Raw genomic sequence first — 22,919 nt, 5'->3', positions numbered from 1 at the left:
TACTTTGTATTCATCAGCACTGTGGTCCGAGGCTTGAGTAAGTGTGTAACACTGTGTGTGTATAACACAGTGTGTACAGTTTGTGCATGGAAGACACTCAGCAAACATGGCGCACGTGTTGAGCCATCTCTTTACTTTGTATGCCTTTAGAGTGGGGTGGTCCTATGGGCAGTATGGAAAGACTTTATGACTTTTTTTAATCCTCTAAAATGATCTGTATGTTCCAAGCTCACTACAGAATAAGCCGAGAAAGAGATCGTCAAGTAAGACTGACCCTGTTTCCCCACTGATATCCTGGGCACAGAAGCCCTTGCACATGCTGAGCAGTATTGGCCTGGAATAGACGGACTTTGTACACTGATGAGTCCCGGACTTGTGTGAAGTGACAGGGGTGAGCAGCCCACCCTGATTTGAGGCAAATGTTCGTTTCCCTCCTTACCGGCATCGCATTGCTAGCATCTTCTCCACACATAAACTGGATCTTTATTGTAATGTTCCGGGCTGATGCTAGTTTGTTTACAAAGTTCAGCCTCTGTGGGTAGACATAGAGAAGGTTTCTGGAAAAGAAGAGATAAAGAATCAATGAAAAAGGTCTAGAGTTTATTTTAACTAAGTTCTTCAGCAAATGCTGAGACTTCCATTCATGGGGTGCTTTTTCCAAAGAAGTTTTTCCTCTCAGAAGTGAATTATTATTGGGGGGAGTGAATTACTTGATTCTTCCTCTTCAGCTACAGTCATCTGAAAATAACCCCCATCGCTCTCTGTTTTGCTACAAGTAAAGATGTGTCTGCTGCAGCTTAGAAAGTCTTCATGTCTTGGAATGTGGAAATCTGCCTAGAGGTAATTGTCTATCTGATACACAGATAAAGAAGGCAAAAAAGGTCCAGCTCATTTTAAATAAAACTCATGGCCATAGATAATGGCCTACTTGTCATTCTTCTCTTTTTTCTTCCTAATCTTTATGTAATAGTTTCCTTTTCTTACTGGCATGGCACTCGTATTGGCTTAGCTTTCTGTTCTTATCTAAGATGGCAGCTCAAACCTCCAAGCTCAATTACTGTAAACGACAACAACAATAAGAATAATATATCCATCCATTTGACAACTATAGGACAGGTACTAGGCTACCCAGTGCCTGGGTAACTTGCATATATTTTTCTTTCTATTTGCATTATTAGTAGTAGATTCCACTACAGTGTAAGTTCCACAAGGACAGGGATTTTTCTCTCATGTTTTTGATTCACTGATGTATCTCCAGCACTAGAACAGTGCCTAGGACACAGGAGTATTAAGTAAGTGTTTGTTGAATGAAGGAATGAGTGTACACATAATTGATGAAGTATATTCCTGGCTTGAAGAAACAATAATAATGATACTAACATTTAAACAGGACTTATCCTGAGTCAGGCCAATGTTCCAAATACTTCATATTTACTAATTTGTTTAATTCTCATAGCTATCCTATAGGTTGGTACTATTATCATTGTCATCATCCCCATGTCACAAGTGAGGAACAAATGAGATACAGAGATGTTAGGTAATACACCCCATATCATATAACTAAATGGCAGAGCGGGGAATTCAACCCAGACTGTCTAGTTCCAGAGTCATGCTCATAACCACTGTATTCTCTCAGATAAGAGCCCTGATAAGCATGGCCTTTCCATACTGTGCTATCCTGACATCTCTCAGGGACAAGTTTGCCTTAATTTTCTAGGTATTAACAGTGGCATGTCAACCTGCATTTCCCAGCCTGTCCCACAGAGCCCTAGTGCTCTGCAAAGTGTTAACAAGTGTATGGGGAAGGTAGGGGGCGTTGAGCAAAAATGTGCTTGGGAAAGAGCAAGGCAAAGCGAGATAAACAGGTTACTGTGCACTGAGAATGCCTCAGAAGGAGAAAGACTCTTCTTTCCCCAAATGTTTTGACCTCAGAACTCCTTTCATTTATTTATCCTTTCATGGTAGCTTTTATGAATTTAACATTCTGAGAAATTATTTGGGGACACATTGAGATAAACTTACCTAGTCACAGAAGAACATCCCACATCAAGGAAAGAAAAGTTAGGGCACAGGGATTCTCAAATCTCTTGCAAAATAATGAATGCTCTCAGGTATTCGAGAGGAAAAATGATAATTGGAACAATCAAGAACACACAGGAGCCGTTACGTTGGATGTGCAAGTTCAAAGGCCATGGAGGCAAATAAATAGTATTCCTAGGTCTTATTTTACCCTCATCTCTCTATTTTGGGTGACTCCCTGGAGGCAGAATGGGGCTGGCCTGGTGCTGGGAGCAAGTATGAGTTGCTGTACCCTGTGACTTTCTGGGCTGATATGTGACAATACTCAATGAGCTTCAAGTATCAGTGAGGTGCAGATGGTCTTCCCAGAAGAGTAGATGACAGGCCATGTCACAATGAAGGGATCAGCATAGAATTCTGGGGTGCTCAGGCCAGGAGGCACCTAGACTGAGCCCCAACTTTTAAAGATGAGACACATGATAAACGAGCCACAGAGCAGGCAGAGGCCCACTGCAGGGCTGTTTCTACTCAGCCACTGGCTGACTTAGCAGCACTTCCCAAATCGTGCTCTGTCTAAACAGAGGCAGAGCCCAAAACCCTGATGCAGGTCGGTAAGACTGAGCCACTGATGCTGTCAGGAGTGGACGTGGATATAGTAAATGATGATGGAAGACAGTTGACAGTTGGGGTGCAGGGATGTGTGTGGGGTACAGACCCCTCTCTGCTCACTGTTCACTTCTGTTCATCTCCACTGCCACCAATCAAATAAGCAGAGCTAATGTCTGTTAAGCGGGATTGAGGGTGTTCTCTCTGGAGGCAGAGAGCTGAGATTTGAATCCAGCTTTTGCTTCTTTTAGCTGCATGGCCTTTGGCAAGTTACTTAGCTTTTCCAAAGCATAATTGCATCGACCTCAAAGGGCTGTGGTGAGCATTAATGAGCAACAGCTGAAACCTGGAAGACTTCTCTGAAAAAAAAAAAAAGCCTTCTCTGAACAGATAAGTTTTATGACTAGCAGTAGACTTCTATTATTATCATTACTATAATAGAAGCATGATATATGCTTCTAAAGGCATGATTTTTGAGAAGTGACTTACTTCTGTACCTTATCAAGTACAAACTCTGTAAACCTACAAATGTGAACACTGAAAACATACTGAAGTTATAGAGCCCCCTAAAAACATACATGATAGTTATTATGATAATTATTTCCTCCACATGGCTAACAAGTCAGACCCACACTCCAACTTACCTTGTCCCTGTCTCTCCACTCTGAACCATCCTCATTCTCACCTGGACCCCTGCAACGCCTTCTCAATAGATCTTGACTTCTACACTTGCCTCTTACAATGTTCCTCATATATTGGTCAGAAGGATTTTTCAAAAATGTAAAATAAATTATGTCAGTCCCCTACAAGGGTTTCCCAAACTTTTCGTCATGGGTCCTACATGACCTTGCCCTTGGCAATGGCTCTGACCTTATCTTTCATCATTCTCCCATGCTGGCCTTTTTTCAAAACCTAGAACATTCCAAACTTATTCCTTCCTTCGTGCCTTCTGTTCCCCAGAGGGCTTCCCCATTCACTAAATGGCTGGTTCTTCTCATCTTTGGGGTTGAGCTCATGTGTCATATCTTCTGAGGTCTTCCTACTGTTCTATTTGATTGGTCCATTCCACTTTCACACACACACTCCCTCTTTCATAATCATATGATTATCTTAACAGAAATGACTATGAAAGCAATATGTGCCCATTTTTTCAACCTTGCATAACATAAAAGTACATAAAAGTATAAAGAAAAGAATAGCAACCACCCACTATATCATTGCTCCAAGGAAGATCACCGTTAAGACTTTAACACATTTCCATTTAGCCTTTTCCCTTCTACACATTAAACCTTTTTTTTTTTTTTTTTTCAATTTTTGAGACAGGATCTCACTCTGTTGCCCAGGCTGGAGTACAGTGGTATGATCATGGCATACTGCAGCCTTGACCTCCTGGGCTCCAGTGATCCTCCAGCCTCAGCCTCCCTAGTAGCTAGAATAGTAGGCATGCATCATGACCACCTGGCTAATTTTTAAATTTTTTGTAGAGACAGGGTCTCACCATGGTGCCCAGGCTGGTCTTGAACTCCTGGCCTTCAGTGATACTCCTGCCTTGGCCTCCCACAGTGCTGGAATTACAGGCACAAGTCACTATGCCCAGCCACATTAAACATTTTCATCATACTGTATGTACAAAGCTTTATCTTTTTTTATGCCACTAAACGTTGTTCAGTTATGACCATTTCCCTAATGTGACTATTCTTAATAAACATGATTTTAATGGGTGCATGGTATTGCATATTCTGAATATGCCATAATATATACTGGTCTCCTCTAAAAATAAGCGTTCAGGTCATTTCCTTGTTTCAGTTAGAAACCTGTGATGAACACTTTATATATCATGCCCCTCTGCAGTGCAGATACTTTTGGAAGAATCCCCTTATATTCTGTAATGCTCAGCTTCATCATCTTTGAATTAATTAAAAGGCGCCTATCAATCTTTCTTGAATGCTGTGTTTGAAGGAATAATGAGCCAGAGTTTGTGAAGGTGCTTTGAAGTAGCTGGATGAAAGGGACTGTGTAAATCATAACAGTAGTAGCCCTGCCAGACTGCTCTCACCACACTTGTCTCTTACACTCCAATACAGGGGCACCGCCACCCATTCCCATGCACCCCCACCACTGCTCAGCAATTTTGCATGTTGCTTCCAAAGGGGTTGCTCACCCCTGTATCCAAACATCACCACCACAGATATTCAGTGTCCTGCCCCACACTGCCAGCACTCCCCACCGAGCACACAGCTGGAAGGAAACTTCAAGATAATTTGGTCCAACATCCCATTTTTTGAAGGTCAGGAAACTAACATCCAGAAAGGTTAAATGAGTTTGCCTGGAATTTCTTTTAAGGAGATGCATTTCCTAAGGGTCATCATATTTCTAAATCAGTAAGAGTGCTAAGTAATATGTTTTGTTAAATCTGCATGTTTTTAAAGAAACGAATACAAGAGAATAATAACGTTTCCTTTTGGAAGGGAAGATCTGCCTGCATGGCCAGTAACCCAGAGCCCAAGCCAGATAAAAATAATGATTAACGAACGGATAAACAGGCTCATATGCTTCATACGTGATAAATTAAGGGTCTCATACTGGCCAGAGAATCATGTTATCTAAGTAATTTTGAGAAGACAGCCCATGACCTTAATAATTTGCCACTTGTTATGGCAAAGTTATTTTGAAAGTTTTCTAGGTAACTGAAGGTCCAGTGTATGTGCCAGGCATTTAGTATAATCTTATCTTTCCCCAAATGTGGACAAAAGTGGTTTTTTTCAGTCACATATACCACCGCATTGAGAACTGGACATTTGATAATCATCAGCGATTTTCCCTCCAGGGCCTCCTCAGATGGCTTTTCTTGATTACAAACTATTTTGGAAACTCCAAATTCTTTCCACTGATTTAGCAACGAATCCTCAACTTATTTTTAAACTGCTGTAATTGAGCAGCTCTGGGGGTTAACTTGTGGAGTCTGGTCACTTTTAGATCAAATTATCAACCAAACACTCTGCTCTTACCATCTTGGGACCATCTTCTATTTCTTTTGCTGAGAATAGGTTAACCAAGGGACCTTGAAATCATTCAAAGCCACAATACAAAAACATCACTTTGGCTTCTCCCAAGTTTATCCTACTCTTCATCTGGTGCAAGGAAACGAACAGAAAAACCGGACCCTGTTAATTATTCCCAAGATGACATCAATGTGCTCTTCCATGGCCTTCTACAGCTTGGAGCTGAGCTCAAGGAGCAAGGAGTTATAGCAGAAAGCACACTGGCCACCTGTTTAAGCGACTGGACCCTTTGAACACCTCTTTAGCTGAGCTTCTAGGTCAGCCAGCAGGAGAGAAGGAAAGAGGGCTTTGAGAGGAGAGAGGAGCAGCTCGACAAGAGGAGTGAAGGCCCCTATCAGCTGGCTGCTGAGCTCCAGTGTCAACTGGTTGCAGGGATGACCTACAGGGAGGGATTTAATGAGGAGCTGAAGTTGCTGGAGCAAAGTTGGAAGATGCTGCACCCTTTAAGGCAAGTGGGCTTCCAGTGACAAAGGTGATGGATGATGTCATGGTGAGTCAATCATTACTGATCATTTGAGTTGGCCATTATTTTAACAGATTGGCAAATAGGTCATGGGAATAGGGTTCATGAAGTTGGGGTTATTTCTTCTGTGAAAATAGCCTGGTTAAGAAGAGTGGAGGTGCAAATAAACCTTCACAATGAGAATGCGTATGCATCGGCCATTCCTGGTACTGGTAAGCTAAACCATGTTTTGAGTAAAAAACATTGTGTCACTGATACCCACATCTGCCAAGGAGAACATGGAGGACCAATCAGTCATGTGATAAAGACAGAATCCCAAGCCTTCTGTAATCTGAAAATATTTTACTTACAGGGCCTTAAAAATCTCAAAGAGAGCCAAAGTATTATCTGTAGTTGTTCAAGGTCGAACAACCCTTGCTGCTGCTTTTCCTGGGTATCTCTTTGAAAGTGGCACTGAGATGAGTGAAATGGCCAATACTCAGTGTATAATGTTGAGTGAAAATGCAGAAAATAAAATTTTATCTTTGACAGGGCTGTAAATATGCAAAAATTGAATATGCATGAAGGTTAGCAGCTAGAAAATGATGTGGGAAAGTGAAAAAAGTAGATTTTATTTCGAAATAAAATTGGTGTCAATTTTGGTTTTATTTTTGTTACTTCAATATACGGCCTGAAACAAAGTAGTAATATGAAATCTACGCCTTTTTTAAAAAAGGAGGAAACAAAGAAAAAATATTTGCTGATTTTGTGGGCTGCATTTTGCATCTTAGTAGCACCTGTAATTTAAGCTGCTTTTATACCAGGGGAGATGGGATTTATGGAGACTTGTGATTAGATAATGGGTGGAAATGTCCTTCAAAAAAATTGCAAAATGCTCTACAAATGTAAGGTGAACAAGTCAATCTCCTCATCTGTAATAAAACGGCTGGAGCCAGGTCTTAAACGCAATGATGCCTAAGAACTGCTTGAAAGCTGCAAAGTATGATACTAATTAAGATGATCTTCTTACCAGGATTGTGTGAACAAACGGAGTGCCTTTTAAAATGCAACTTTAAACATTCTGCAGGATTGTAAGATATTATATGTTACCTGGGAAGTCAATCAATCTGTCTGGGATCCTCTCTTCATTTTTCCATTTCTCTCAGTCTGTGTCTTTAATTTGTGTAAGTCTCTCTGCCTCTCTTTCAGACTCTCCCAGTCTCTATGTCTCTCTGATTAACATCCCCCTGCCTTCCTCTGTCACAGCCTCTTTTTTTGGAGATGGAGTCTATGCTCTGTTGCTTGGGCTGGAGTGCTGTGGCGTGATCACAGCTTACTGCAGCCTCAACTTTCTGGGCTCAAGCGATCCTCTGCTTCAGCCTCCTAAGTTTCTAGGACTACAGATTCAAGGCACCACAATGCCTGGCTAATTTTTTAGTTTTACTTTTTGTAGAGGTGAAATCTTCCTGTGTTACCCAGGCTGGTCTCGAACTCCTGGGCTCAAGTGGTCCTCATGCCTGGGCCTCCTAAAGTGCTAGGATTACAAGCCCAAGCCACTGTGACCAGCTGAAATGCTCTTTTTGAGGGAGCACTCCATTCCTCCCGCTCCATTTAGTGACTAAAATCCATTTGCTTACCAGTTACCAAGTGCTTGACAATTTCCTACTCTGAGCTGAGGCTGAGGTTTGGACAGGGCCATTTAAGCTCTCAGGATGACAAACACAGCACCTAGGATCTATGAACAACTTAAGATTCCACAAAAATGTCTGAGATTCCAGAAGTTATTGGCTCTAAAAATATGAAAAGTAAAACCTCAAAACCGAAATCAATAAATTTTTAATTAAATGCTTACCAAATGCAAAATTTTTCAGTTAGCCAATGGCAACTCTTCTGAGTTTAACCTGAAGGCAAAAATTTTTTCCTGCTACTTTGCAGACTGTTATAAAATGATATACAAAGTATACATAATACAGTAGGTACATCTTAATATGTTTTAAATAACATGTGGTCTGGTGCTTCCAGCTTAGGGAAATCTTAAAAATGCCTTGGGTATGGATATTCGGGGAAGGGTATAAAATACCAGAAAAATCAGTGTTTCTATTTTATTCTTTTTTTTTTTTTTTAAATTTTGAGATGGAGTCTTGCTCTGTTGCCCAGGCTGGAGTGCAGTGGCATGATCTCAGCTAACTGCAACCTCCACTGCCCAAGATCAAGCAATTCTCCTGCCTCGGCCTCCTGAGTAGCTGGGACTACAGGAGCATGCTACCAGGCCCGGCTAATTTTTGTATTTTTAGTAGAGATGGGGTTTCACCATGTTGGCCAGGCTGGTGTCGAACTCCTGACCTCAAGTGATCCGCCCGCCTCGGCCTCCCAAAATGTTGGGATTACAGGTGTGAGCCACCATACTTGGCCTATTTTATTCATTTTTTAACAGCTTGAAACACAAGTGTTGTTTTGATAGTAAACTACTAGCAACATGCAATTCTGATACAACACCAATGAAACAGGTTTATACATAAAAAGCTCTGTTTTTCTAAATAAGCTCTTTCAGCCAAACAATTTTGGCAATTTCAAAGTAATTTCTTTTTCTTCATTTGTGTTTTAAAATTCTCCCTCTGTAATTTTTTTTTTTTTTTTTTTTTGCAAAGACAGAGCCAAAAAATTGATGAAGTGGAAATGCAGCAAAGCCAACTGCATGAACAAAGATGCTGTCATTCAAAAACTACAGGAAAAGGTTGGCGCTTTTTACTCTCTATAGCAATTTGTTGTAAATAGACTGATCCCATCAGAGTGAACTTCAAATGCCTACTAATGTCAGTAACATCTTCTGATTATCTGGTGTCTTTTATTCAAGGATTCAGAAGGAAATTGCAAATACATTATTTTAAGGTACTTATGCAAGGAAAACAGCTGAGGAGATGATTTTATCATTCATATTTCACTACCAGCAAAATCTATTTTAAATGTAACAATAAAAAATAGCTAACATTATTTCATTCTTACTCTATGCAGGCACTGTTACAAGCATCTATGACAGGTACTACTATTAGCCTCATTCAGAAGATGATAAAACTGAGGTGTGAAGAGAATGCATTAACTTGTACCAGGTAACACAGCAGCAGGTGGCACACTGCAATTCAAATCCAGGTGCTCTGAAGTAAACAATCTCTCTGGTCAACAATTAGACTCACCAGAACTTTATTGTAATGTAGTCTTATAATATCTACAAGGGCTAAAGGGATGTTACTCCAAATAAACTATGAGGTTTTTCTGAGTGAGCTAAAATTTTACTACTCAAAGGGCAGTCCAATGAGTAGCAGCATCAACGTCAGCGTCAGCATCAGCATCAGCATAGCATTGCCTGGGAGCCAGTTAGAAATGCACCATGGACCTGCTAGATGAGAACCTACATTTTAACAATGCACCAGGTGTCTCAAATGTACATTCAAGTTTGAGAAGCACTGACCCAAGAGAACTGGTTTGTTTTTAAATTGGCAGATATATGAATCTTATCGTTCATTGTGATTCCCTTTATTGCTTGGCTGCTAGGCAGCTCAAATTTGCAGGTTTTGTTGTTGTTGTTGTTTGTTTCTCTTTGAGATGGAGTCTCCCTCTGTCACCCAGGCTGGAGTGCAATGGCGTGATCTCAGTTCACTGCAACCTCCACTTTCTGGGCTCAAGCGATTCTCCTGCCTCAGCCTCCCAAGTAGCTGGGACTACAGGCACATGCCACCACACCTGGCTAATTTTTGTATTTTTAGTAGAGACAGGGTTTCACCATGTTGGCCAGGTTTGTCTTGAACTCCTGACCTCAAGTGATCCGCCCACCTCGGCCTCCCAAACTGTTGGGATTACAGGCATGAGCCACCGCACCTGGCCTGCAGGTAATTTTTAAAGGAACTGTCAAAGGCCTTAATAAACATTCTGTGTACATATTAACCTTACACACACTTAGATTTATTTCTCTCTCCTTATTTTCCTTTCACTCAGAAATTTTATACCTTGTTATATAACCTCTATAACTGCCTTAGACACTTTTTAGAATGGGAAGCAGTTGAGCACAGTGGCTCAGGCCTATAATCCCAGCACTTTGGGAGGTCAAGGCAGGAGGACTGTTTGAGGCCAGGAGTTCGAGACTAGCCTAGCCTGGGGAACATAGTGAGACCCCATCTGTACAACAGAATTTTTTTTTTATTAGCCAGGCATGGTGGTGTATGCCTGTAATCCCAGCTACTCAGAAGGCTGAGGCTGGAAGATCACTTGAGTCCAGGAGTTCAAGGCTGCAGTGAGCTATGATCATGCCACTGCACTCCAGCCTGGGTGACAGAATGAGACCCTGTCTCAAGAAATAAGTAAGTAAATAAATAAATAAATAGAATGAGAAGGTTCATAAATGTGAAAAAAACCCAAAACATTTGCTGTGTCCTGTCTTGTCATTCTGTGGCCACGGCCTCATGCCATTATTTGTGTTTATTCCTGTTTCCAATGTTTTAGGTTAGATAAAAGTGCAAATTCACAAAGGAACCAGTGAAAAAGGAAAACAGAAGGAAAACTCCTGATGTGTAGGTTGAAGAGAACATTCTGTCTTCAGAAATCAGAGCAAGAAAAATGGAAGGTAAAACATGTTCCAGGGCACCAGTCAGAGCCCCACAAGGCTGTCTGCCCTGGGAAATGGCGCAAGATTAGAAGGAGGCACTGGGGGTGTTATCGCAAGCAGCAGCTTGCCCCTTAGTAACCCCTGTCCTCCACAGGCCAGGCTGCAATATTTCACATAAACGCTGGTACTGTACTCTGAACATCAGGGACCTCTACACCCCTCACAAACAGCAAATGCAGTTAAGACGCCAGAAAAAAAAAATGGTATCAAATTGTTTAAAAACTCTACAATAAATGGTCCAATATTCTTTCTCTATGATTTTGTAATGTTAAAAAAATCCACTGAAAGTCAGAAATCAAATGACAGAAAGAGAGAAAGAGAAAGAGAGAGAGAGAGAAATAAAACAATAGCCAGTCTTAATGTCTCTTATGGTACCACTTTTAAAGATTTCTTTCAGTGAGAAAACAATCCATGCTTTTTCAACTGATGATCTGCAATTTGAATATGAGATATGGTGATTTTATACAGCACAACTCTTATTACTACTAATTGATCTTTGAACATGAATTGATTAAATATAGCTGCTATGATATTTGTAGAATACCTTTTCTATTACATTAATCTCCATCCCATTCTTTTCTATGAGATAAGTAAAAGTTCCTTTTGAGTGAGAGATTGGAAAACCAGCATTCCTTCTGCTAAATAAAGCAGACCCTCAAGAATGCTATCTTTTAGAAATGGGTGAAAGGAGCCATCCTTAAAACCCACTTCACTTGTTTAAGTCCAACTAGTTTTCAATAGCAAAGACCCAAAGGGAAAGCTAGAGTGTTTATGGTCTTAGGTCTTATCCAGATCAGATTCCCATAGAAAAGAATCACAAATATCCAAGCATTCGAAATCTGCTGGGGAAACCTAACTGCTTTAAGAAAAAAAAAAATTCTCTCCCCGATCCTGATTGAAAATGATTTCTAAACCATACTTTGTTGAACCAACTGAAATTTTTTTCAAGTAAGATGCCCATGTTAGCAGATTTCCTTCTGAAACACTGCTTGGTAGATTTAATATATTAAGAGGTTTATATATAATTCACTCTCACCTTAGTATGAATTGGTTTACTCACCCTCCCTCCTTACAAAAAGCTTGGATTTATGGACTGAAGGTGTGCATGAAGAAAAGGAATAAAAAGAGGATAGGGTAATCACTGACTAGGAAGCACTGCTTTGGGGAAGATCTGGATGCTTAGAGGCTTAAGGAAAGTGATGAAGCAAGGGAAGGTGGGAAGGGACCCAAACCAAATTTTTTCTTTTTTTTTTTTTTTTGAGACAGAGTCTCGCTCTGTAGCCCAGGCTGGAGTGCAGTGGTGCAATCTCGCCTCGCTGCAAGCTCTGCCTCCTGGGTTCACGCTATTCTCCTGCCTCAGCCTCCGGAGTAGCTGGGATTACAGGCGCCTGCTACCACGCCTGGCTAGTTTTTTTTGTATTTTTAGTAGAGACGGGGTTTCACTGTGTTAGCCAGGATGGTCTCAATCTCCTGACCTCGTGATCCGCCCGCCTCGGTCTCCCAAAGTGCTGGGATTACAGGCGTGAGCCACCACGCCCAGCCAAAATTTTTTACTCTACATTTTTTTCTTAAGATTGACAAGACAGTCAAAAGGTCCACTGGATAAATGTATCTTTCCTAACTCGCAGCCACTGTCCTTGGAACCCAGGATGTGGTTTGAAGGGTCTAAGTGATCTGGATTTACTTTTTCTTATTTGTCTTGTGGTTTCTGTATAGGGATGGCTCAGAAATATGTTCACCAGCTAGAGCCCCATGTTGGTTTATTAGAATCCTATTTCCAGTGTGGTTTTCTTTTTCTGCCTGAAAGTCATTTACTAAGAATGTATTTTTTTCTAAATGGGGGAAGGATTGGAACTACTTTAGCAAGAAACATTTCAGACAGCCTGCAAATCTCACCTTTCCATAGCTACAGTGACCATTTCACTCAGTACTCTGTACATTTGATAATATGTATGTAGATCTGCAGATGCTTGGGAGGTGAGTGTGCGGTTGGGAGTTAGGGAGGAATAGGGTGTACAAGGTGCTGGGGTGCTGTGCAAGAGGAGAAATGAATCCATTCCTTCATATGTACAGCTTAGGGTTTCTCCCCACTATTTGAAAATAAGAAAATGCAGAGAATCTGCTTTCTAGGTAAAAAACAACTTTTCCCTATTTTGCAGGCTTATTTCTTTGGAGTGTGGTTTAGTAAGGGACTCCACACCTTTGAGTATCTGTCAAGGAGTGGCTATTTTTTTTTCTTTTATTAGAGAGTGATGCATTGCAGATGTCCTAGAAATACACCATTCTGGGCTGGGCACGGTGGCTCATGCCTGTAATCCCAGCACTTTGGGAGGCCAAGGTGGGTAGATCACAGGGTCAGGAGACTGAGACCATCCTGGCCAACAAGGTGAAACCCAGTCTCTACTAAAATACAAAAAATAAGCTGGGCGTGGTGGCACATGCCTGTAATCCCAGCTATTCAGGAGGCTAAGGCAGGGGAATCGCTTGTACCAGGAAGGCGGAGGTTGCAGTGAGCTGAGATTGTGCCACTGCACTCCAGCCTGGTGACAGAGCGAGACTCTGTCTCAAAAAAAAAAAAAAAAAAAAAAAAAAAAAAGAAAAGAAACAGAAATACACCAGTCTGATGGGAACACTTTTCATGAGGCACGTTGTCCTCAGCATCCACAAAATTAACCTGCCCTCCCTGTCACCCTCCTACCCCCATATTCCTCCCAGTTCAATGTTTTGTAGCTTCATTAAGAACTGTGCCAGCAGCTTCTAATGAAATAACCAATGATTCTGCTTCCTGATATTCTTGCTCTGTGAAATCCTCTCCCTTTGAGTGTGGGCTAGACCTAGTGACTCGCTTCTGATGTAGTGACAAAAGTCAATACGACGTTTGTCAAAATAGGACAAAAGTGATGAGGTACTGCTCTTGAGATTAGGCTGTGAAAGACCCTGGCCTCTGTCTTGCTTTCTGTCTCTTACCCTCCCGCTTGCTTGTTTTGACGAAGCCAATTGCTACACTGTGAGCTGCCCCCCATGAGAAAACATGTTAAGGAACTTAAGGAAGCCTCTGGCTTAGTGAGGAACCGACGCCCTCAGCCTAACAACCCGTGAGCAACTGCATCCTGCCAACAGCCACATGAGTGAGCTTGGAAGTGGATCCACCCCCAGGGGACCCTTGAGGTGACGGCAGCCTAGGCTGACATCCTCACTGCACTTTTCGAAAGCTCAGACCAAGCAGGTCAGCTGCACCTGCGTAACCTACATAAACTTGTGAGATAATGACTGTTGTTTTGAGCTGCAAAGGTTTTGTTATACAGCAATAGATAACTAACACAAGTATGTAAATTTTTAAAAGTATACGTCCAGTGTTCTTTGATATTTAAATATGTGTTTCCTTCAAAAAAAATGGTTTTACTTCAAAAATTTCTGCCTCAATTGGACCTCCTGGTCTAAGGACATAATATAACGACTCCCCACACAAAAATATTCTTCCCAGGCTGGAGTGGAATGCTGTGATCTCGGCCCACTGCAACCTCCACCTCTCGGGTTCAAGTGATTCTCCTGCCTCAGCCTCCCGAGTAGCTGGGACTACAGGCGCCCGTCACCACGGCTGGCTAAGTTTAGTATTTTTAGTAAAGACAGGGTTTTGCCAAGTTGTCCAGACTAGTCTTGAACTCCTGGCCTCAGGTGATCCACCTGCCTTGGCCTCCCAAAGTGCTGGGATTACAGGCGTGAGCCACCGTGCCCGGCCACAAAAATATTCTTAATCACAAAATAGTCTCTTTGGAGTCAATTCAATCTCCAAAGAAGTATAAGAACATGAGAATTTCTAAAAGTATAAATAATTTTTCCTTGGTTCCAGTGTTGATTATATGAACTAAATTAATTAATGTCTCCTGAAGAGGCTGTGATAGGTCAGATAATAAGAAGAATGCTAAAAAGTACCTAGTACAAACACCCTTCCTTTTCCCCCAAAGCACCACATTTTGAATGAAAACCTCCTGCAGATAAAAACAAAATAAACATTTCAATAATACTTGGCTTTGCTCAAGACCTAAAAGTTAAGTTTCAAGACACCATTTGCATAGTCCAAATCTGGACTATGCTGTATTTTTCTTTTTTTTTGAGGCCACCAGACAGAACTGTCAGATGGAGAACCAGCACCAACCAACCTGCATGTTCCTTTAACAGACAGAGAAAGCACATTTTTCCCAGGCTTTGCAAATAGTTTCCTAAAACAAATCTGCCAGCTGAGAAAAACACATATAAATACCAGAACGCTTCCAATTTCTGCTGGTGCTGAGGCTGATATTTTTGGTTATTTGGGGTAGATCCTTTATTAGTTCTCTACCCATTTAAAGAAACAGCCAATGAATACATCAATAATCTTCATTAAAATGCTTGTTTTATCATTCTTGATGTTTTTAACATTGCCAGACGCCTTGGTTTGGGTTGGGGAAGAAAGTATTGGAATCAGGGGAAGCAGCAGGTCTGCTGGGAAATAAATTGGCCAGATGCCCCCAGCTGCCTCTATAAACATATCCTTGCTTTAGGCACTTGGCAAGAGAGAGGACTTGTCTGAGTTTTGGAGGTAGGAGAACTTTCAAAGATCTCAAGGTGGTTGCAGGACAAAGTTGCATTACATGTCATTGCATAGATCAGCATGGTTGCCTGTGGTTCTAGTGTCTCTTAGGAGACTGGGATTTGCCTTCCAAGACAGGCAGTCCCCTCCTTGTCTATTTCAGCACCAAGCATAGTGTCTGACACACAGCAGGGGCTTATAATACTGGTTAGGTGAATGCATCAACATTATTCACAGGGTGACGAGTATTGCCAGGCATATGAGATTTTTCAAAGGGAAGATATCCTGCTCCCTTTGTCCCTGAATGACACATGGTGAGGAAGGAGCTGAGAAGAAGTGTTCCCACTCCCTACACTCATACCAGTGTGACAAGTCCACAAGGGGATGTAGCATCCCCAGACCATTCTGAGGGTTAACAGTCCTTCTTACAGACTTCATTTCTTTCAGAAGATATATAAAGTATCGGCACTTTTTTTTTGAGACAGAGTCTCACACTGTCACTGGACTGGAGTGCAGTGGCGCGATCTTGGCTCACTGCAACCTCCACCTCCAAGTTCAAGCGATTCTCCTGCCCCAGCCTCCCAAGTAGCTGGGATTACAGGTGCCCGCCACCACGCCCAGCTAATTTTTTGTATTTTTAGTAGAGATGGGGTTTCACTATGTTGGCCAGGCTGGTTTCAAACTCCTGACCTTGTGATCCACCCGCCTCGGCCTCCCAAAGTGCAGGGATTACAGGCATGAGCCACCGTGCCTGGCCAAGTGTCACCACTTGTTTTGGCTGCTGGCCTGGGATGCCGATTCTCATGCTAGAGTTTGGTTCAGTTTCATCACAACTCTGGGAGGAAACGTTAGAGGTTGCATAAAATAAGCATATTCTCTCTGGGCTCTTTTGTTCCACCCCAAGAGCATCACGGTGAGGATCATGCTTAATAGTAATAATAATTCCATGCTCAATGCTGCAGACCATGGCTCCTGTAACAATCAGTGACCTTGAAAGAGCAGTTAGGCCCTGAAGCCTATTGCCTGGAGTCCCATCCAGCTTTGCAGGCAGCTATCTCTAGAGCTGTGTGTCAGCAGCTACCCGCACCATGCCTCCCATTCCCCGAGTTCTAGGCTTGCTGTGGGGTTGATGTTTAGCAACATCAAACATTTCTCCTGCTGCTGCTGCATTCTCCACTTCCTTCTCCAAACTGCCACATGCTCGACGCCCACCAAACATGCATATGAATCACTTGGAGGTACTGACATGTCTAGAGAATCATTGATTAGGTAAATGCTAAATTTCTAGACAAATCCTGATTCTCACAGGGTTCTTGCTGACTTCAGGGAAAGTTCTACAAGGGAGTTGCAAACACTGGATACAGTGCAAAAATGCAGGGTTTACATGCCACTGGCTATTGCTAGAGAGCTGTCTAGGGAAGACTGTTGCCATGACATCTTTAACCAGAAAGCATCATCACCATCCTGTTGCTCTAAGTAGACAGACTTTGGACATAAAGAGGCAAACTTCCTGTTCTTCACACGTTCCCCTCCCATTCCACTTTCTCAGTCCCATTCAGTGGATATTTCCATGCCTACTGAGTAGATGCTGTGAGCTAACACAGCCTGCTGCTCTACCTGCACAGAAGATAACTTGTCAAATGGAGCCCAGCCTTAATTCCGGGACCAGGGGAAGAAACAGTGAAGGAAGACTGCAATGTGATTAACAAAAACTAGTACCTGATTTGCCAATGGGCAGCTGTAATCACAGCTTTGTGGCATCTGAAAGAATCTGCAGACTATCTTCTAGCCTTGGTGATTGGTGAGTGAGAAAGGCACTCCCTACTGGGGCCCTTTTCCAGCCATGATTTGTGTTGAAGATGGTGACCAACTATCTGTCCTTCTGACCTGCCCAAGACCAGGGTGCCACTCTAGAAACAAGACTATAGAAAAACTGATTTCTCCAGGTCCAATCCAGTCCCCGATGATGAGATCACATCAAAACCTTCTCTCTGGAGAAAGGCGTTCCCCAGTTACCTACTTAGAGTTTAATTTCAGTCAGAGGTAGACCATACTAGGCAAATCCCGGTGGAACCCCGACCCTACCAGGACCTATCAGGAAGCCAGAGAAATTAGGGATGTCGCTGGCATCCCCTGTTGGCCATATGGTGCCACCACCCAGCTCCTACAACAAAATCCCAGTGAACTAGGCTAATTGTCAATCGGCCTCATCCCCTTCCCATGCCAATCCCAAAGAGCATTTCCTGAGTGAGCTCCAACACACTGATTTTTGTCCTGATGGGAGAAAGGGTATGAATCTCTGCCACCCTCAGGAAGTTTACAAACAGGACGGGGGTCCACAGCTCTGATCCTATGTCCATTCTTTGGCACCAGAGTTGCTGCCTGACAGGCTGACTGGTCCCCCTTCAGTAATTCCTCTTCCACATTCCTCCCCATTAAGGTTGCTATCTACGTTCTGTCCAAACAAAATTATATTAGTTTCAAAATAATGCAGGGAGAGGCACAGGTGTTATTATTCTGCTTATCCGCAAAGTGAGGACAAACCACTAATTTGATGTTTGTTCTTTACAAAAGAGGAAGCAGCCATCAATCAATTCCTTCCTCCGTGGGTTGGCTCGTTATTAAAATGAAAGAAAACCTGCCAGAAAACCAAACCCCTGCCCTTTATCTCTCCCTAGTAAGACTATCTCATTGATGTTCTAAGAAAATTAAAGTGGCATGAACGTGTCCTGGACGGCACGTACATTGGCAGAATCTAGTTCAGCAGCCATTAAGTTAAAAGTATTGTAACCAGGAAATAAATGCAAAGGTAAAAAACACAAGAAGAGTGGCACCTCCCAGTGCTTTGGGAAGCTGAGGTAGGAAGATTGCTTGAGGCTAGGAGTTCAAGACCAGCCTGGGCAACAGAGTGAGACCTTGTCTCTAGAAAAGATAAAATAATTAGCTGGTGTGGTGACACACAGCAGTGGTCCTAGCTTCTTGGGAGGCTGAGTTGGGAGGATCACTTAAGCCCAGCAGTTTGAGGCTGCAGTGAGCTAGAATCGTACCACTGCACTCCAATCTTGGAGACAGAGCAAGATCCTGTCTCTTAAAAGAAGAAAATGAAAGAAGGGCATGAGAAAACAGAACTCCAAGTTTGCGATGAGCCGAACTTGAGGAGCACAAGGAGATTCCTGGAAAGGTGAGAATGAGGGGAGGCCATGTTTTCAACAATGGGAGTTAGGGGAAGAACAAACAAGCTCAGAAGAGCTATTGGAGGGCGGCGGAGGGAGAAAGAAGAAACAGATTACATGAAGTATAAATTAAGAATAATTTTCATGTCCCTACTCTGAGAAGCAAATTCATCCAAGTCTGAGCCAAAGAGAATGAATCAGAATTCTAAGGTTTCTGAGTGTGTCTTCTGAGAAAAATTCAGAGACTATTGTGTACATTTGTGTATATTACCTTTAAGGACATTAACTGACACTTCCAGAGAACAGAAATGTAAATCTGTTAATGGGATAACGAAACTGGTCTGTGTCCTGTGAGCTGATTGACAGAAGTTTAGAAACGCTGCTAAACTTGTCTTTGAGCCCTGATAGGAGAGAAAGCTCAGCCCATGTCACCCCTATCAAGTGAGTGGAGTGGTATAAAAGGAACGACCAGCTTGGGCTTAAAAGCTGTAATTCTAGGGAAAGATAAGAAATAGGCTTTGAGATTTGCTTATTGCTAAATGTACAGTTATTAGCCTGGGCATGGAAACCCCTTAGAAATCATTAAAATGAGCCGTTATGTTGAGCTCCTCTAATTTTATCCTTATGAAGCCATGATATTTATATTTCCATTAATAGTTGCATGAATCTCAATTTACATTTTGAAAGTTGTCAAAGAACATGAAACAAAGCAGCCAGGACTGGCACATTTTTTGAAAGTTTTAGAATCTTTCTGTTGTTGACACCAGTGGGTAAAGAAATTTCATCTTTTAACTATAAAAGACACATGACATCTGATGAATTAGCCATGGTTTTAAACAATTACCTTATTACGCTGTCAAAACACAGTCCTTTCAACTACTCACAGCTCTGTTTTATTTTGTACTGTGGGGTTTACCTGCACCTCCCACTCAGTTTCTTCCCTTGGGAAACCCTGACACAGCATCTCATATTTTGCCTGAGTAAAAGACGATCTGGAAGTATAAGACGATTCCCGACTTCTGCTGAGGGCCCAAGGGCAGCCTGTCTGAGGCCTGAAACCACAGGACATCCATTAAGGAGAGCTGTTAAAATACCTCTGCTTTAGAGATGGCCAAACACTCTCAGTGAAAGGTGGATGAATGCTGACCTTTGGGGGCATCTGTAAAGCACATGAGGAGGTCAGAACTGAGGATGAAAAAGCTGCAAAATAGCGTCCCCCACAACTTCCCAATAGCAAAAGAAATAAGACTAAACAGTTTCCCAAAGCTGTCCCGTCAGAAGAGAAGAAGCCACTTCAAAGGACTGATTTTAAATAATAATTTGTAAAACTAACAAAAGTATAGAAATCAAAGACAAAAGGCTTTTTGGATTTTAGGTGCTCCCTCTAATCTAGACAAACTATTCAAGATCAGAGTCAAATGCAAGCCTAACTTTGACTTAATTTCATCACCACTTCTCCATTGCTTCTGCCTCCACCAACCAGGGCAACTCATGTAGAAACAGGGTGCCTCATGAAGCTTCCTGCTGAATTCTATGTAAAGGACAGTGGAAAAATGACACTCGTCACTGTTAAACCGACCGCAGGACTTTTAGGTAGGACCGTTCTATATGGGCTGTAACACCAAAGCACTGTGGACTCAAGAGTATAAAATAAGGAGAGTGGTATGGAGTTGTGAACGGTGGAATCAGTGACACTAATGTACACAGCACCTCCTTACTCCTACCTGCCTCAACCATGATTCTAGGAAAATTCGGCACATTCTGTGGTTTACATATGAGACAAAATTGGTGAATGTGTAAATATGTATAGTAAGCAACTCTCCCCAAAATGAGAAGATTTCGATCTTTAGCTACATTAAGGGATGCATCTCTTGGTCCCCCTCCCCACTACACCTTCCAAAAAAATGCCAGATGTCTAAGGTCAGGACTTACTAATGAAAGGAGGCAGAAACTGACAGGCTAGAATAAAATCCTTTGCGAAAAAATGACAACAGTGATCTCGGAGGATGCTGCAATACTTTTCAGTTTTTCCTGGTCTTGCACTTCAAGGGCAAAAAATACAATATGTGTCCTACTTTCATAAATCACGACTTCATATGTTTTGTAACGAAAAAGGTAGTCGTGTGTCTGAATCTAGAAAGTGAGTGAATTGTGTCCTCTAGTGGCTGAATATTATACTGGAACGGTAGCTTTGCTGTCATAACCTTAGGCAATTGGTTCCCTCCTGAATTTTTTCATTCTTACAAATAGGAGGATTGCTGAGTTTTGGAGCAAGGCATTAGGAATGTGGGGATTGTGTTCCTGATTTATTATCGAGACCAAGTTGCAACTAGCACCAGAAATTCACTTTGTCTTTGTCTCCGTTCCTTGGCTAATTCAAATGACTAGATTTTGCCTGGGCTGCCACTGCCCTTCCTAACTACATGGTTTGTTTATAAAAGCTTCTGTTCCATAAGCGACTGCTTGCTAAGCCTAGTAAAACCAAGTACTGGGCTTCCGCATCATCTGATACTTAGGACAGAGTTTTTTGTTTTTGTTTTTTGAAAGAGTCTCACTCTGTTGCCCAGGCTGGAGGGCAGTGGCATGATCACGGCTCACTGTAGCCTCGACCTTCCTGGCTCAAGCGATCCTCCCACCTCAGCCTCACAAGTAACTGGGACTGCAGGTGTGGACCCCCACCCCTGGCTAATTTTTTTGTTGTTGTTGTAGAGACAGGGTCTTGCTATGTTGCCTAGGCTGGTCTTGAACTCCTGGGCTCAATGGATCCTCCCGCCTCGGCCTCCCAAAGTGCTGGGATTGCAGGTGTGAGCCGCTGTGCCCGGTATGGAGCATTTGACAACTCCATATGGTACAGGAACTCATTAAGGGTTGGTGGAAGCTTCCCTTCCATGAGAAGGAGGGGGACGCTTTGATTTTGAACAAAAGAGAGTGTCAGACCACCAGTGCCCCATCCCAGACCACCTGAATGGGAGTCTTCAGGGTGGGGCTGGACACTTACTCTGATGCACAACCACCCTTCCTTCACCTAGCACTGAGAAGATCCACTCTGAATACAGAGCTAACTGGGCTTAAACTGGGAACCTATTTCCTTGGATGAAATTAAGTCCCTTTCAAGGATACTCCCCATGTCCTGCCCCTCTTCCTAACCACTTCGTTTGCAGTTATTTCTGGTTCATTTCTTTCCTTAGAAGTTCTAGTCACTAAATCATAACTCGCAGACATTCCTTCCGGTCAGGTCCTGCATGCATGCTACGCCATTCCTTTTCCCCCGCAGAAGAGAAGGTGGGTAGTACTCCTTAAGACTCCACTGCGATATGGGAGCACATCCCCGTTAGGCCAGATCAGACTTCTGGTCTGAGAACATTCAGCTGAATAGGAGGAGTCCTGAAAACAGCTAATTATCCATCAGAGAAATCATGTTCCAACTGATATGCTTGTTCTCAGCAAGCACCGTCCTCCACAGCAAGTCTGATAATTGGATAAACAAGACCTCAGAGGCTCTCGGGGGCTGAAGTGAGAGATGAAAACGTACTTTATGTGGCTCTTTTTACTGTAATCACCCATTAAAGGGACGGCAGGGAGCTTAACAGCTCATTACAACCTCATTGCCTGTGATCTCCGCACATACCCCTCTGGCGGCCGCAGGATAGGATGCCCTTGAAGACCTTGCTGGGCCTTGGCCTCAGCCCATGCTGTTTTCATTCTGCCCCCACCAGAAAGCAGCTGGTGTCTCTAGTACCAGCTGTTGGGTCACATGGAAAATAAGCCAGGAGTTGGTGCAAATGTGTTCCTAGGCAAACCACTAGCATTTTCTTAATCTGGACACAGAGCAAGGAACGCCAAGCTTGGATTCGGATAATCCTTTTCATCAGCTCAGTTTTTCCAGCTGTTCTGCTCTGCTTTCAGAATTGCTGTCCTTCTGCTTGTGATTTCTCAGAGTGTCCTGCCTGGCTCTGGTTCAGAGGACCCTGCTCTAGCTCCATGCCTCTAACCCACAGAGGCTGCACATGGCACTGCAGAGGGCCCGAGCCGCTGGTTTGGGAGCCCCTGGTCATTCCTGGGATGAGCACTTCTGGCTCTAGAAGTTGGTCTCTATCGTTAGAGCAAGGATTTATTTTATGAATGCCCAACCCTCACGGACCCACGGGGATACTTCTGGGAGCACTACCCAGTTCTACCAGAACTCATCTACAGCTGTTCCTTAAAGAAACTTGAATAAGGTAGAGACACGGGGCAGCACACACACATTACCGCAATTACTTTTGCACCAACCTAATACACTAGAATGCAACTCGAATGGTGCCCCACGCAGGACACCTGAAGGGGCAGGGCAAAGAAAAGAGGCAGTGAAGAGGTGGGAGGAAGGTGAGGCTGGGGACTGGAAGGCAAT

The 22,919-nt window shown here is 42.8% G+C and overlaps 1 protein-coding gene and 1 long non-coding RNA gene across 21 annotated transcripts in view; one reads left to right on the top strand and one right to left on the bottom strand.

Moving 5' to 3' along the window:
• Nucleotides 1-22,919, bottom strand: part of DOCK8 (dedicator of cytokinesis 8) — a 253,999-nt gene that overhangs the window by 96,681 nt on the left and 134,399 nt on the right. For all 17 annotated transcript variants that reach the window (XM_017015173.2, XM_047423927.1, XM_011518045.4 and 14 more), the window contains one exon: nucleotides 440-557. In XM_017015173.2, coding sequence (XP_016870662.1) covers nucleotides 440-557 — 118 coding nt within the window. The remainder of the gene's footprint in view (nucleotides 1-439; nucleotides 558-22,919) is intronic.
• On the top strand, nucleotides 3,854-11,033 carry LOC105375945 (uncharacterized). 4 transcript variants are annotated; one of them, XR_007061393.1, is made up of 5 exons: nucleotides 3,854-6,177; nucleotides 8,778-8,863; nucleotides 9,142-9,236; nucleotides 10,624-10,744; nucleotides 10,881-11,033. It is a non-coding gene; the product is annotated as an uncharacterized LOC105375945 (long non-coding RNA). The 4 variants fall into 4 exon arrangements; XR_929401.4 differs by having other exon boundaries at nucleotides 10,624-11,033; XR_007061392.1 differs by lacking the exons at nucleotides 8,778-8,863; nucleotides 9,142-9,236 and having other exon boundaries at nucleotides 10,624-11,033.

This window comes from Homo sapiens, chromosome 9, assembly GCF_000001405.40.
Source record: "Homo sapiens chromosome 9, GRCh38.p14 Primary Assembly".
NCBI lineage: Eukaryota > Metazoa > Chordata > Mammalia > Primates > Hominidae > Homo > Homo sapiens.
The sequence above is the reverse complement of the archived record's forward strand: the minus strand, read 5'-3'. Positions and strand labels throughout refer to the sequence as shown.